Source organism: Homo sapiens, chromosome 9, assembly GCF_000001405.40.
Source record: "Homo sapiens chromosome 9, GRCh38.p14 Primary Assembly".
Taxonomy (NCBI): domain Eukaryota; kingdom Metazoa; phylum Chordata; class Mammalia; order Primates; family Hominidae; genus Homo; species Homo sapiens.
Genome location: NC_000009.12, coordinates 110,966,913 through 110,983,765, shown reverse-complemented (window position 1 = coordinate 110,983,765; position 16,853 = coordinate 110,966,913). Strand labels below are relative to the sequence as shown.

The window sequence follows — 16,853 nt, the reverse complement described above, 5'->3', positions numbered from 1 at the left end:
TAATGGGATTTCTTTTAATTTTTAAAGCTTATTAACTTAAACCTGTTTTGCACTTATCATTTACTTCATAGTTTTCCTGGAATTTGTCACACTTTTTTAAATTATGGTAAAATACACATAACATAAAATTTACCCTCTTAACCATTTAAATGTACAGTTCAGTAGTGTTAAGTATATTCAGACTGTTGTGCAACCAATCTCCAGAACTCTTTTCGTCTTGTAAAACTGAAACCCCGTACCCATTACACAGCAATTTCTCATTCATCCCTCTCCCCCAGTCCCTGGCAAGTACTACTGTACTTTGTCTCTATTAATTTGACTATTAGCTACCTTATATATGTGGAGTATTTGTCCTTTTTTGACTGGCTTATTTCACTTAGCATAATGTCTTCAGGGTTCATCCATGTCATAGCATATGCCAGAATATCCTTTTGAAGGCTGGATGATAAGCCATTGTATGTATATACCAATTTAGTTTATGTCTGTTCATCTGTTGTTGAAAACTTGGGTTGCTTCTACCTCTTGGCTCTTGTAGATAGTGCTGCTACAAACATGGGTATACAAATATCTCTTTGAAAGATCATTAACAGTTATTTTGGATATATACCCAGAGGTGGGATTGCTAAATCATATGGTAATCCTATTTTAATTTTTTTGAGGAACCTCTATACTGTTTTCCATAGTGATTGTACCATTTTTGGTCCCACCAGCAGTGCTGGGTTCCAGTTTGTTCACATCCTTGCTAATACTTCTTTTCTTTTTTTGATAATGGCTATCTTAATGGGTGTCAGATGTTATCTTACTATTTTGATTTGCATTTGCATTTTACTGATGATTAGTGATGTTGAGCATCTCTTCATGTTTGGCCGTGTGTGTGTGTGTGTGTGTGTGTGTGTGTGTGTGTATGTGTATATACATTTTTGTAGAAGTGTCTACTCAAGTCTTTTGCCCAATTTTTAAGTTGTTTGTTGGTTTGTTGTTTTTGATTTTGAGTTGTAGGAGTTAGGAAAGTTTACTTTTATTGCTAAGTAACTTCTGTTCCACTTATTTTTGTCAAGTATGCCGATTATGTTGAATCTTTATGTCCTGCGATTTATATCCATAATTTCTTTTTAAATTTTTTTATTTTTATTTTTTATTATTATACTTTAAGTTCTGGGGTACATGTGCACAACATGCAGGTTTGTTACATAAGTATACATGTGCCATGTTGGTTTGCTGCATCCATCAACTCGTCATTTACATTAGGTATTTCTCCTAATGCTATCCCTCCCCTAGTCCATCACCCCCTGACAGGCCCCAGTGTGTGATGTTCCCCTCCCTGTGTCCATGTGTTCTTATTGTTCAACTCCCACTTATGAGTGAGAATATGTGGTGTTTGGTTTTCTCTTCTTGTGTTACTTTGCTGAGAATGATGGTTTCCAGTTTCATCCATGTCCCTGAAAAGGACATAAACTCATCCATTTTTATGGCTGCATAGTATTCCATGGTGTATATGTACCACATTTTCTTTATTCAGTCTATCATTTGATGTGCATTTGGGTTGGTTCCAAGTCTTTGCTATTGTGAACAATGCTGCAGTAAACATATGTGTGTATGTGTCTTTATAGTAGAATGATTTATAATCTTTTAGGTGTATACCCAGTAATGGGATGGCTGAGTCAAATGGTATTTCTAGTTCTAGATCCTTGAGGAGTTGCCACACTGTGTTCCACAATGGTTGAACTAATTTACACTCCTACCAACACTGTAAAAGCATTCCTATTTTCCCCACATCCTCTCCAGCATCTGTTGATTCCTGACTTTTTAATGCTCGCCATTCTAAATGATGTGAGATGGTATCTCATTGTGGTTTTGATTTGCATTTCTGTAACGAGCAGTGATGATGAACATTTTTTCATAAGTTTGTTGGCTGCATAAATGTCTTCTTTTGAGAAGTGTCTGTTCATATCCTTTGCCTACTTTTTGATGAGGTTGTTTTCTTCTTGTAAATTTGTTTATTTGTAGATTCTGTATGTCCATAATTTCTAATTAATCTAGTAAATTCCATTATTGTAAGCACATGTACTTTTTCCCAAGCCAGACTTCCATGGCACCAACTTGGTTTTCTGCAGTGGCACTTCTGTCTTTTGTAGTTTTAAATTTTTAGTTTCTGCAGTGATTTTTTTTTATTTCCTTAAAAAATTTTAAAATCAAACTTGTAAATGTTTATAATTTAAAAATGTATAGGTAGATACTTTATTTGGCAAACAATGTTAGCTATCACTTTTACCATGTTCACTATATTGTTCACAGTATGATAAGTATTACTCCAGGTGTCTTAGGTACATTAATCAATTCAATTCTTATAGTCATATGTGGCAGCCTTACTATTATTATACCCATTTTACAGAGGAGAAATCTGAGGCAAGGAGACATGACATAACCTGCCCAAGGTCATACTGGCAGGACAAGGATTTGAACCTAGGCAGTTGGATTCCCTAGCGTACTGTACTTGTAACTACTATGCAGCACTGCCTCTCTTCCTCCTTTTCTTAAAAAAAGAAATGTATGTGCTTTATTTGAATTCTGACTCAACCAACCAAACTGTTAAAAGTTATAAGAAAATCAGGGGATTGTGAACTTACCGAATATTTGATGATATCAAGTACCTCTGATTAATTTTTTAACTGTGATGATGGTAAGGTAGTTTCCTTATAAAAGAGTTCTTTTAAGGACAAAACAGCTAAATATGTAAACATAAAGTTACTTACAGCATATGTATTATGCTGAGTTATTTACAGAAGAAATTAAATGATGCTTGGGATTTGTTCCTCTATATTATCTTTAAATATATTCATTTTAATTGATATACATTTGTACATATTTATGGGATACAGTGTGATATTTTGATACATGTATATACAATGTGTAATGATCAAATTAAGGCAATTAACATATCCATCACCTCAAACCTTCATCATTTCTTTATACGGGTAACAGTCAAAGTCCTCTCTTCTAGCTATTTGAAAAAATACAATAAATTGTTGTTTGCTATAAGTCACTCTTCAGATCTATAGAACACTAGAACTTATTTTTGCTATCTAGGTATAACTTTGTACATCCATTAACCAAACTCTCCCTATCCCTCCCTGTCCCCTAGGCTTCCTGGTATCTAGTAAGCACTATCCTACTCTCTACTTCTGTGGGATCAACTTTTTTAGCTCCCACATAGGAGCGAGAACATTGCAGTATTTATCTTTCTGTGCCTGACTTACTTCGCTTAACATGCAGTCCTCCAGGCTCACCCGTGTTGCTGCAAATGACAGGATGTATGTAATTTAAAGTGTCAAATAGCTCTGAGGCTTGCCAGGAAAGAGGAGTCCTTGCTTGCTTCCTACAATTTTACCTTCCCCAGAGCTACCACTTTCAGTTGTTTTGGCAGCCTCATTTGATATTTGCATTTAATCTGTAAGATTTTTTTTAACTTCTTTTTGAAAATTTTTAAAATTGTGAATGATATGTTTTGAAATATGTGCTATGTGGAATTCTAAGGTTTTTATTTCTTTTTATCTTACTAGTTTGGAATATTTATAGATGTACCATGTGCAAAGTGTACCATTCACATACTCCCATCCTGAACCTCCTTTTCTTAGTATAGTTAGGTCATGATTTTGACTAGGCCATTATTCAGTGTTAATAGGATGATGACCTTGTTAATGCTGTTCATACCTGAGCCATGTAGAATTCTATGAATCCTTTTCCTCTTCTGCAAATTTTTTGTTCTATTTAAACTAATTGTTCTTTTGATGTTTGCTTAGTTTTCTATGTGCTTTTTACTCATTCAGTCCTAAATGCTCTTGGTTATCCAAATCTCCTCTTGATATACTACTTCTTGAGTCTTTTTGCTTATCACCCAAGGATTTCCCTTCACAATTATGCCAGGAATTCCTTTTTTTCTCCCTCTTGTATTGGACTCCTGTTTCCTGTATCACATGCCTGTCTTTTTCTTAGTTTCCTCCCTGTTTTGCAGAAGAACATCTGCCAATAGAATTCTAGGTTGTCAACTGCCTTCCTCATTGCTTCATTGTCTTCTAGCTTTCAGGGTTGCTGTTGAAAAGTCCAGAGACTTTCTGATTCCTAATCTTTTGCTTATGAGCTTCCCTACCTGCTTTTTGATATTTTATAGGACCTTTTTAATATCCTTACAGTTAAAAAAACACAACTCATGATGACAGATGCTGTGTTTAATGTGGGCATATTGAAATCAAATGAAATGGGCAGGTAGGCACTCAGTGGGCCCTTACAGTCTACACAGTTATGACCTTACGTTTTAGGAAATATTTTGAGTTAGTCATTTGACTTCACTCCACCCCATTTCCTTTACTCTTTTATTCTGGAATTCTATTTGGCTATTAGACCTGCTGGACTCATTTTGTAGCCTTCTCATTTTTACTGTTCTAGTCTTCTTTACTTTTTTTTTTTTAACTCTACATTTTGGGCACATTCCTTAAAGTTATATTCCAATCTGTCTACTGAATTTTTTTTGAATTCTTAAAAATTGACATATAAAATTATAAGTATTTATCATGCACAATATGATGTTTTGAGTATATATATATTGTGGAATGGTTAAGTCTAGCTAATTAACAAATGCATTACCTCACATAGCCACCATTTGTTTGCGGTAAGAACAGTTAACATCCACTCCCTTGGCATTTTCCAAGAATACCATGTATCATCATTATCTATAGTCACTGTCCTACACGATGGATCTGACCTTATTCCTCCTAACTGCAATAGATCTCCTGTCTAACTGTAAATATGTATCCTTTGATCAACATCTTCCCAACTCCCTCTCCCCACAACCACCCCAGCCTTTGGTAACCACCACTTTGCTCTCTACTTCTGTGGGAAAAACTTTTTTAGATTTTGAATTACCACTTTTTAAGCATCCTGTTTTTGTTTGAATAAGTGCAATATATTCTTCTCGATGTTACTATTGTTAAACCTATTCATCTGCTCAGATTCCAGAGAGAAAAATCTTTCCGTCTCAGGCCTTAGATGATGTAAGACTGGCTTCAGATGCTATTTAGCTCTGATAGGCGGAAGAGATAATAAGAAAGAAGACAAGCTTCAGCTCTGAACTGCCTGTATCTCATCTTGTTCCTCCAGGTTTGGGCTTCAGGAATTTCTTCTATTTTGTTTATATCAGACTATAGGGCTCTCTGAAGAATGATACATAGTTTGAAAAATTTCCCCATTTTATCTAAATTGTTGTATATCTGTAATAGTTTTCTAAAGTTTTTAGAATAAATTTGTCCTTTCCAGGTTTCAGCATTGATGGTTTCTTCTTTCCTCCTTTATTGCTTTTCATTCATCTATTCTGTTTTGGAGACGAAGGCTTTAAAATCTTTACCCACGTAGCTTCCCCCAGCTACCTCTGAGAAGTCTGTTTTATCTTTTGCATCACTAATTTTATTTTTTGCTTTTTAAAAATATTCTACTTTCTGCTTCATTGGTTGCTTTTATTCAAGTTCATAATTCAGATTTTCTTTTCTGGTTAGCGCAGACTCTTTTCTGGTCTCATATTTCTTTCTATGGCTACCTGCTCTATGTGCAAAGATTCTACTATGTCCCCTGGAATTTTAAGAACATGAGCTAGAAATTTTCTGTTAATAGAGTTTTCTCTTTTATATAGTATATCTATTTCTTAAGTAAATATTTGCTCTGATTCTAGAATCTTCCCCTTTTCTGAACCACAATGTGTTCTATTTGCCTGGTGGATTTAGATTTTTCTCCTTTGCTTATCCTTAGGGAAGTCAATGCATATTCAGTATTGGGTATTGCCTTGTTTTCTTTCCTTCTTTCCTTCTTTCCTTCCTTCCTTCCTTCCTTCCTTCCTTCCTTCCTTCCTTCCTTCCTTCCTTCCTTCCTTCCCTCCTTCCTTCCCTCCCTCCCTCCCGCCCTCCCTCCCTCCTTCCTTCCTTCCTTCCTTCTTTCCTTCTGTTTTAAAATTTTACTTTAAGTTCCGGGATACATGTGCAGAACATGCAGTTTCTTACATAGGTATACATGTGCCATGGTGGTTTGATGCACCTATCAACTCGTCATCTAGGTTTTAAGCCCCGCGTGCATTAGTAACCCTGTGTTCTTTCAAGAAACTTGTATGAGTCACTATTTGACTCAAGTCCAGACAAAGGAAAAAGGTTACATTTGTAGTAGATTAATTTACCAATTATGAATTCATATTCCTGTGAGGCCTGGGAAAAGAGCCAGCATCAGCTCCAGAAGTAATCAAAGGGAAGTTTGCCTCAAACCAAAGACTTTGTTTTAGGTATTTGGTGTGGCACTCAGTAATTAGCAAGGTCATTGTCACTTGGCATGGCTGCCCTTGCCAGGAGCCAGCTGGGAGTGTCTTTTTCCCATGTGTTTTCTGTGGTAGTCATCATGGCCACCTGTCAACCAGAAGTAAATGCAGCCAGAGGTTACTTGCTTGGCTGGCCTCTGAAGCCAGGAGCCCTTTTAAAGGAGTTAGTGTGTTTTAAATGTACCCCAAGTCTTCCTGGGCTTAGTTCCCTCAGCCCCCATCGCTCTAAACTAGGGGTATCATTATGGGTTTAGTGGATTCTCATTTGCTTATTTTCTGGTTGTGCAGTTGCAGTTTCACATGAAGAGGATATCGTGTTTTAGTCCTTTTGTCAACCTCCCATGTTGATTCTTTCAAGTATATATTTCTGAACGTTTAAGATCTATTTATAGTTTCCAGGGCTGATTCAGGATATTCCTCTGTTATAATCAACTGGTCATTTCTTTGGTAATCTGGCACAAAGAAATAAGCTTATAGCTTTCTTATTTGGAAATTGTATTTTATATATGTGATTTGAATCATAGGGGGGATATTGAGGTAATTTAGACCCAGTGATTGTAAAGGAATGGATGAATGATCCAATAAATAAATAGATGACAAAGCTCATCTTTTGCAGGTGAGAGGCATTAGAAGTAATTTTACGGTTTTGAGAAGAGAAATATAGATGAGAAGAGATGCCTAGGAGAATAGAAAATGGAGACAACTAGGAAAGAAGAGAAGAGGCAGCAGTAATGCTCCAAGGGCAGTTGGAGAGCCTGATGTCAGCTGGGCAAACCCACATTGCTTCATGGTTTTCTGTGGCTAGAACACAGTTTTGAAGCTCAAGCAAAGGAAATGGAGAGTTAGGTTGGTGGCAGGTTGGAAGAGTTGCAGAACAGGTATCCAAGTACTTGGAAGAGTTCAGAGGGGTGTATTTCTTAGTCTCACTCTGTTGCCCAGGCTGGAGTGCAGTGGTGCAATCTCGGCTCACTGCAACTTCTGCCTCCCAGGTTCAAGCAGCTCTCTGCCTCAGCCTCCTGAGTAGCTGGGATTACAGGCGCCTGCCGCCACGCCTGGCTAAATTTTTTTTTTTTTTTTTTTGTATTTTTAGTAGACACGGGGTTTCACCATCTTGGCCAGGCTGGTCTTGAACTCCTGACCTCATGATCCACCCACATCGGCGTCTCAAAATGCTAGGATTACAGACGTGAACCACCACACCCAGCCAGGGATGTATTTCTTTAAAAATTATTGTGCAACTCTCTAGTTGACAGTCTGGGGCTCTGGTAAGGCGGGGGTTCATCTGTCAAAGTGAGCCAGCTTACTCAGCTAGATACTGTATGGCATGATTACTTAGGGTAATGTCTTTTTTGTCTTGTTTAGTTCCCCCATGATTTGTGCAGTTTTGTAAATAAGTTGAGAAGTAAATAGATTTCATGATATAATTTTAAGACTTCACTCCCAAGGGAAAACTGATTTATACCTTTGAAGTTATGTCATTTAGCCCTTGTATTTGGCAAAGTAAGCATACACTATTTTATAAAGCGTTCTTGTAATGTGTGAATAGGTTCAACAAAATTAGACGTGTCGCATGTTTTAGGAGAAGGCAGTTAATTTTCTGTCTTATTTTCTTCTTGAAAATGTGAAACTAACAATCTGTCATGTTTATTAGGCATCTCAAGGAAATGAAACATCCAAATGAGGGTTAAATGGTTAAAATTTTATATAGATGAGAAGAGCACAAGGTTCTCTGTCTCAGGGTTACTCTGCAGGTCATCTGACTTTCATCCTACTTTCTCCATTTTTTATCTGACATTTTTGCTTAAAGATTCCATGTGCTTTCCATCTCTTTTTAATCTTTGATCACATGGAATATTGGCCTATGGAAAGAGTATGAATCTTAGCATAGGCCCTGGTTCAGACCTCAGCTCTTTCATTTCCTGACTGTGTGACTGTGGGTATGTTGCATAACCTCACAATACCTTTCAAAGCCTCAGATGTCTCCTCTGTAAAATAACTGAATAGTATCTGCCTCAAACTGTTGGGGAAATGACTGCTCCAAAGCTCAGCATCCAGTGGCCTTTCATGAAATCCCAGTCTCGCATCTTTCCCTCTGCTGTTGTTAGTAATAACGTCATATGACATATTTGTTTGGTGGATCTCATCCATTTCTATTTCGCTTTCCTTACTCTAAGCTAGGTGCCTCTATTTACCTTTTAGGCAACTCTCTATATTCTGAATATTGAAAATATTTTAAGGTTATATTGCTTAATGACATAGCTTGGTGAAATGATATTGGACCTGAGCATATAGTATGCGTCCTTAAGAATGGAATCTTATGTGCTTGATTTTTTGCTTTTTAGTTGTATTATTGATATATTCATTTATGTCACATAGAGCAAGATAATGTGAATTATAAATACATAAGAGGGAGAAAGGAAAAATGAAAGTAGGAGTGGGCAAAAAATAATGCCAGGAATAATAAATACATGAGAAGGAGAAAGGAAAAATGAAAGTAGGAGTGAGCAAAAAATAGTGCCAGGAATAAGTTCAGTGTAAAACAGTGCACCTTGGGGTTCCTGTAATTTTCTTGGGTAGGTTTGGCACTCTAGCAGTCATCTTGAAAAAAGAAAGGTCCTGTATACATATGCTTTTCTCCTGGGTTGTTTATTTACTTTCACAGTGTGATAAACAAGTCTCATTTGTTCCTAAAACTGGGACTAAGGAGAATATCAGTACTGTCACAGGGCAGCTGTGGAATTCGGTGTTGAATGTCATGACAAGATAACTTGAGAACTTTACTACTTATTTGTGAATGAAAATAATTGCTGTAATGGGAGAAGAAAATAGGAAGGCTCTACAGTTCTAAGCAGCCAGAACCTAAAGTGATTGAAACTGTAGTATCAAGGATGCTGCACAAAAATGTAGCAATTAAAAATTTAAGCTTATAGAAGTTGCTGTCAAACCTAGATTATTTCTTAGAAAAGCAGCACTTCTGAGCTCCTCATTTGCCCAGTATCCCTGAGCTAATATAGGGTAGCACCAAGGGATGTGGGGGACAAAGGACTTGGATTAAATGTCCAACTCCACAGTTCCTGCTGTGCAAGACTTGGATCTTGTGACATCTGGTTCATTACTTTTACTATTATGAAAAGTATCATTTCCCAATAGTTTAAAAAGTGTTCAGGTATCATCTTGCATGTTGGTGAAACTAGGAAGTATATTTACAGACAAAAGCTCCTTAAAGGCAAGGTTGGCTTAGCCTTACTTTTTTTTTTTGAGACGGAGTCTTGCTCTGTTGCCCAGGCTGGAGTGCAGTGGCACGATCTCGGCTCACTGCAACCTCCGCCTCCTGGGTTCTAGTGATTCTCCTGCCTCAGCCTCCTGAGTAGGTGTGTGCCACCACGCCCAGCTAATTTTTATATTTTAAGTAGAGATGGGGTTTCACCATGTTGGTCAGGCTGGTCTCAAATTCCTGACCTCTAATGATCTGCCCCCACTGGCCTCCCAAAGTTTTGAGATTACAGGCCTGAGCTGCTGTGCCCAGCCAATAACGTCTTTTGAATAAAAGAAAAGATATTGTTAGGGAGTATGAACATCACCAGAAAATGAAAATGTTTCTTAAAAATAAACGAATTTTTAAAAATTATTTTCTTAAAATGAAAAATTTTTTTCTTCTGGACTAAATTGCAATGTGGAAAGAGTCACATCAGCCTTTGGACAGAACTAGGGCTGTGATTTACTACAGGGAAGTTAGCATCTTTCTGAGTTTTCTTAATGAACACGTGAATAAGAGATTTGGTTATACTTTGTGCTTATTTAGCATCCTCTCTTTGAGGATGTCAAAAGGATTTTAGAAATGTTCTCTTTCTCACACAGGTGGACGTCTGATTTATGAAGCTCCCCATCCACCTATCTGAGTACCTGACTTCTCAGGACTGACACCTACAGCATCAGGTATCTTGCCTTTCTTTAGTCTTAAAAGCGGTAACTAAGTTCCTTGAGGAGATATAGGCAGGGAACACATTAACTTCGTTACGTTTCATATAGGCCTGGGAACCGGAGTTGCTGCTGTAGTCCTGGTTCTACCATTAAATGTGTGACTCTAGTCCCTTTTCTTCTCTAAGCCTCAATTTTTTCTTCTGCAAATAGGTGGGGTTGGACGGGGTGCTATCTAATCACTTGACGGTATTATGGTAGTCTACTTTTATCCGAAGCTTCACTTTCCACAGTTTCAGTTACCTGCAGTCAAACTTGGTCCAAAAATATTAAATGAAAAATTTCAGAAACAAACAATTCACAAGTTGTAAATTGCACACCGTTCTGAATAGTGTGGGTGAAATCTCATACTGTCCATGTGATTTGTCCCTTTGTCCTGCGATTCCACACTGTGTGTGCTACCTGTACATTAGTCACTCAGTAGCTGTCTCTGTTATATACAGGGTTGGGTACTATTCACAGTTTCTTTTTCTTTTTCTTTTTCTTTTTTTTGAGAAGGAGTCTCTCTGTGTCGCCCAGGCTGGAGTGCAGTGGTGCCATCTTGGATCACTGCAACCTCTACCTCCCAGGTTCAAACAATTCTCCTGCCTCAGCCTCCTGAGTAGCTAGGATTACAGGCATGTTCTACCACGCCTGGCTAATTTTTGTATTTTTAGTAGAGATGGGGTTTTGCCATGTTGGCCAGGCTGGTCTCAAACTCCTGACCTCAGGTAATCCTTCCCCCTCGGCTTCCCAAAGAGCTGAGATTATAGGCGTGAGCCACTGCACCTGACCCACTATCCAGTTTCAAGTATCCACTGGGGGGCTTAGAATCCACTCCTCAGATAAGTGGGGGTGGTTACTGCATTCTCTTTGCCCTCTATGTAAGCCGTCAGCTCTCCACTGTGGATTATTCAATTCCTTTATTATTTAATGGCAGGATGGCTTTTCCCCCGACTCACCCTCCTCAGCTCTGCAACTTGAAACTGTCTTCCCAAAACATCTAGCTGGGATGTTGGATTCAAACCTATGAAAATTCCTCAACTTAAGAGTATTTGGACAGATAGCACAGAAGTCGTGGCTTTTAGACCTTAGCTTTTCCCTACCGGCTTTCTGTTTGCATTAAGCTAGTATTTGACACTTGATGTCTAGGGATTCTTACCTCCTTTGGCCAATGGTACTTCACACCCATATGCTAGTCCTTTTATGCTAAATGTGGGTTTTCCTGTTGTTTTCCAGGTACACAGCTTCTCCTAGCATGACTTCGATCTGATCAGCAAACAAGAAAATTTGTCTCCCGTAGTTCTGGGGCGTGTTCACCACCTACAACCACAGAGCTGTCATGGCTGCCATCTCTACTTCCATCCCTGTAATTTCACAGCCCCAGGTAAGGGCTTCAAACTAGCAGAGGTCTGAGGTAATCGTAAGTTTGTCAAATATTTAAACTGGGTTTCAGGAAGTGTATTTGACTCTAGGGATCATGTATATCTCTCTCGCTATCATTTGGTGTGTATTCGAATAATGGTGCTTTTGTGAGTGAGGTGCCATTTCGTTCAGGAAGCAGCTGGAACAATGAACAAGTGATTTTAGTGAACTGGCCTCTGTTCATAGGAGGCCTTGGTTTTCAGTGCTTAGGATGTCTGACATTATAGGCATCAAACTCTAAATCAAAGTAAGTCAGTAGTAAACCCTGCTGCTTTTCCTCTCTTGGCTTTTTTGTGGGCCGGGGGGTGGGGTGGGGTTTAATGAAATATATCAGAATGGATCTAATTTTATAACAAGTTTTCTGAGGGCTGTCTTGTTGTCCTCCTCCTATACTTACTCTTTTGCCTTGATCTGTTCTAGGAACTTTGAAACAAAATGCAATTCCAGAAACTTCTGAGCAGCAATCGTATGAGTTATTTTTTTCTGTCCAGTGAAGAGCAGTAATACGGCAGGGACATGGTCTTTGTTCAGATGATTTTACAGCCTGATTTAATCAGGCATTGGCTGGACTCTTTCAGATTCACCAGGCAGCAGGGTACAATGTGGAAACAGACTTTGGAGTCATAAGGCCACAGTTCACATCCCTGCTCCTCTGATTGCAGGATAAAGAGCCCTAGTCATGCTAGCTTCTCTCAGCTTCAGTTTCCTCTCATGTAATCATTCCTCACATGATGGTTATATGGATAAAATGATGGTTCATATACATGAGGCATACAGAGGTGCTCAGCAAGTGTAGTTTCCCATTTACTCTTCATTTATCTTCTTTCTATAGTGTGACCTCCTTTCTTATTTGTGACAATCATTTTTTGGCCAACTTTATTTTTATTTATTTATTTTTTTGAGAGAGAGCCTTGCTCTGTTGCCCAGGCTGGAGTGTAGTGGCATGATCTTGGTTCACTGCAATCTCCACCTCCTGGGTTCAAGCGATTCTCCTGTCTCAGCTTCCTGAGTAGCTGAGATTACAGGCGCCCGCCACCACGCCCAGCTAATTTTTGTATTTTAGTAGAGATGGGGTTTCACCATGTTGGTCAGGCTGGTCTTGAACTCTTGACCTCAAATGATCCACCTGCCTTGGCCTCCCAAAGTGCTGGGATTACAAGCCTGAGCCACTGTGCCCGGCCTCGGGCAACTTTGAAGAAAAAAGCATACTTTCAAGAAAGAGCCATACTGATTGAAATTTGAACTTGATACAGAACGTTGTTCCACACTGTTTTTTTCAGTATGATTTTGCAGGCTATTCAATTTTGTATGTATTTTAAGTAGGGGTTTGTGTGTTTGTGAGAGAAGGAGAGAAGGAGGAGAGGGAAAAAGGAGAACAAGGGGCATTTTTCCCTCATATAGTATAGTGTTTTCTCCTCAACACCATTTGGGATGTCATCATTGTTATCAACCTTGGGATTTTATCATATGAATAAAGCCCTTTATTCATATCATATGAATAAAGAATAAAGTACTAAGGCCTTTAGTATTATTTTCCAGAATGTTTAGTGTTACCATCGTCATACGCATTCCTCTTTCTGGTAAGTGGACCATTGTCCTTTCAACACTTCATTTACTTTGGGTGTTTGGTTTCCCTTATCTTCAATAGACTTTTTTGGTGTCTGAGAGACTTGGAGAATGGGCAAAGAGATTTAGTGCCTGTTACCTGAGGTCACCATTTCAAAGTCCACTGCAGCTGTTCCCATGTAATGACTCTTCTTAGTCCTTTCGTGAAGTGAGTTAGGCTAGTGCGGGTTTTCTAGACAGGGCATTTCCACATCCCGGTTTGCTGCTGTCATCTTTCAGCATTTCCAACAGCATCTTCTTATCTATATATCTTCTCTGTTACACAAGCTCCTATCAGCTGGTGAGGAATAGAAATACCTCTAAATGACTCATTTAATTAAAATGTTTAACACTGCCCAAAGGAGAAAGAGGTTCTATTTCATACAATCACTGGGGGAAATGTGTACTCTCGTAAATTCTCTGTGGGAAAGTAAATTGGTACAGTCACTCTGGAGGGTAATTCAACAGTATCTATTAAAATTATACACTTCTGCACATGCCCTGCTCCTGTCTTGGAATCTACATTAGAAAACCACTCACACATGAGCCCAAGGAGTGTATAAGGAATGTATAAAGATATTCATTGAAGCATTGGTTGCAAACCAAGAAGTACAAAATTTTGTGAATATCCAATAGTAGAAAGACTTAATGAATTCAGGAATGTGGACATGATTGAAATACTATTCAGTCATTTTATTTATTTCTTTTTTTTTTTTCTGAGACAGAGTCTCATTCTATTGCCCAGGCTGGAGTGTAGTGGCACGATCTTGTCTCACTGCAACCTCCACCTTCTGGGTTCCAGCAATTCTCCTGCCTCAGCCTCCCAAGTAGCTAGGATTATAGGTGTGTGCCTCCATGCCTGGTTAATTTCTGTATTTTTAGTAGAGACGGGGTTTCACCATGTTGTCCAGGCTGGTCTCAAACTCCTGACCTCAGGTGATCTGCCCATCTTGGCCTCCCAAAGTTCTGGGATTACAGCCATGAGCCACTGCGCCCGACCACTATTCAGTAGTTTTAAAATGAGGATGTCTACACAGCTATATATTACTCCAAGATATCGTATGGAGGAAAAAGAAAGCAAGACGCAAAATAGTACTTATGGGAAGATACCATTAAAATTCTAAAACAAGACTGTGTATTTTTAGGGAGAAGTATATGGTACATTAATGGAAATGGATAATGAAAGTCCTAGAACATACATTCTTAACATAGTTATATTGCCCCAAGAGGACAAAAATTGGGTTTTGGGAGATGAAAAAAATCCCTCCAGAGCTTATACCTCTATCCAACAAAATCTTATTCCTTAGTATTTAGTTTTTTCTCATTAGAAAAAATTTAAATGTAATTAATTTTTCTCCTTAAGGATCACTAATGAGAAAAAAATATGGCCAAGAAACACTGGTTTCTTGAGGGAGGCACATAGGCTCACCAGTCACCCTGCTTCAATTTACTAATTACCTGAGCCTGAGGGGAAGGTATCCACCCTCTTAGTGCCTCTATTTCCTTACCCACGGAATGAGCATAGCATTAATGAAGCCAACCTGATAGGGTTATTTTAAGGCGGAAATGAAATAATTTCTATAAAGCTCAGAATAGTGCCTGGCACATATTCTGGGCACATATTGCCCAGTGCATATTAGCAAGCATTGTTATTATTGCTCAGCAAGCCTTGTGGCAGGGCTGGGGGATACAAGAATAAATAAGAGAAATAAGTTTTGCCCTGCCAGAGTTTACAGATATAGTGGGAGATACACAGATAAAACAAAAAGTTACAACGCTTTGTCACCCATGCAGGAATGCACAAATACAGGAAGTATGGGTGCTCTGGGAGGAAAGTGGAGACCCAAGAAAAGATTTAGAGGATCAGGGAAGGCTTCTTGAAGGAAGACCACTAGGCTGAGGACAAATTAATATGAGTTATTTTGGTAAAGGAGAAGAAAAAGCATAGGTGAATGTCAAGTGTCCCAAGGTATGTGTGTGTGTGAGAGAGAGAGAGAGAGAGGGAGCAAAGCATTTAGAATTTTGTTTTGGATGGTTGCACTACAGTGGGGCATGAGATTGTAAACAGTGATGTCCCTAGAGCCACCTATACCAACTCACAGAAGCAGATTGTTAAATTTTCAGGAATTTCGCGAGCCAATTGACTTCATGCCAGCAGCTTGAAATCAGCCACATGGAATAGTTATACTGCAGAAATCGGCAAGTGCTAGAATTAGCATAAATGGGTTAGGTTATAAAGTTGGAGATTTTACAGGGTCTTTCAAACCGTATTAATGAATTTAACATTGATCTTAAAAGAAGTCTTTGTTAGCTTAATGGTCCCAGCCTTTGAAATAGACCTGGGTTCAAGTTCTGACTTTCGATAATAGTTTTATTGAGCAAGTTTATTAATTAACCTTAACCAGGGTAGTTGCATTATTCTCACCGTATTTTGGGAATAGTGGCAGCCTCTGATGGTTGGGGAACTAAGCCCACGGGGAAGGAGTCAGCTATACACTGGGACATTAGGTCATAGAGATAGATAGCTTCTTCTGGAGAGATGCAGACCATTGGGTCACTTGGTTCCCAGGATCCTTTGGCCAATGATGGGCCTCCTAATTATATGTCAATTCCTCACATGTAATTTGTACAGTGAAATTTAGTCCAAGGCTGACTTGCCCTTGCCCCGAAGCTTCTACTGATGTCTTCTCTCTTATTATCAGTTTTGCCCAAGTTCAAAGAAGGTAAAAATAATTTAGATATAGCATCTTCTTAGGCAAGCATAATAAGCAGCTCACTCAGTCACCTTAGCCTGGTATTGTCTGGCACATCAACTTGCTTTCTTTTCCAGTGAATTCAGGGACCTTGTAAAGATAAATCCACATTCAAGTGTGAAAGGCCTGAAAATCCTTTTCTAAGGCCAAAACAACAATTTTTTAGAAAAACTTTTGGTTTTGTTTGTTACTCTATTCATTGGGTAACAAAGAGCATTTTTCTAATCAAGGCTGCCTAATACTACATATAAACGAATTAATATGAACAAATAGCTTGTGATTGTTTCAAACAATAATAGGGAAGAAAGCTTGCATTGTCACGCCTGCTGGGATTGCTGTTTAGTTAGTTGAAAGATATGCCTTGTTTTTTGAAGTGGGGCAAGTTTGTATTCTCTGCTTTACCCCTGCCTTGACTCTGAGACAGATTTTTGTTTTCTCATGCTGAGAGAGCACCTAGCTCTTACAAAGCTAGGTGATGAATACTAAGACGAAACTGGACTAGCAGCAGCAAGAAGATGCCGTGTTTGTAACCGATTTATAATTCTGCTGGTCCAGACACTGAAAAAGAGTTTTCTTATCCAAAGGAAACTCCTGGGATGTATTTGCAGACAGGAACCTGTTCATCATTAGGTTGAGTTAATGTGTTCGTATCCTGTGGATATTGGGGGCATGGGGATGGGGTAGGAAACCAAACAAACTTGCAGCTCTCCAGAGCCATTTTCTGTTTCTAGCACTGTGTTAAGCATTACCCTGTGCTTGATCAG

General features: G+C 38.7%; 1 protein-coding gene across 77 annotated transcripts in view; it reads left to right on the top strand.

Annotated features, from left to right (window-relative positions):
- The window catches only part of LPAR1 (lysophosphatidic acid receptor 1), a 165,736-nt gene that overhangs the window by 55,233 nt on the left and 93,650 nt on the right, over positions 1–16,853 (top strand). For 65 of the 77 annotated variants that reach the window (NM_001351397.2, NM_001387475.1, NM_001351399.2 and 62 more), the window contains 2 exons: positions 10,208–10,285; positions 11,546–11,693. In NM_001351397.2, the coding sequence (NP_001338326.1) occupies positions 11,649–11,693 (45 nt within the window). In that variant the 5' untranslated portion in view covers positions 10,208–10,285; positions 11,546–11,648. The remainder of the gene's footprint in view (positions 1–10,207; positions 10,286–11,545; positions 11,694–16,853) is intronic. The other 12 variants (NM_001387471.1, NM_001387485.1, NM_001387481.1 and 9 more) reach the window with 1 other exon arrangement.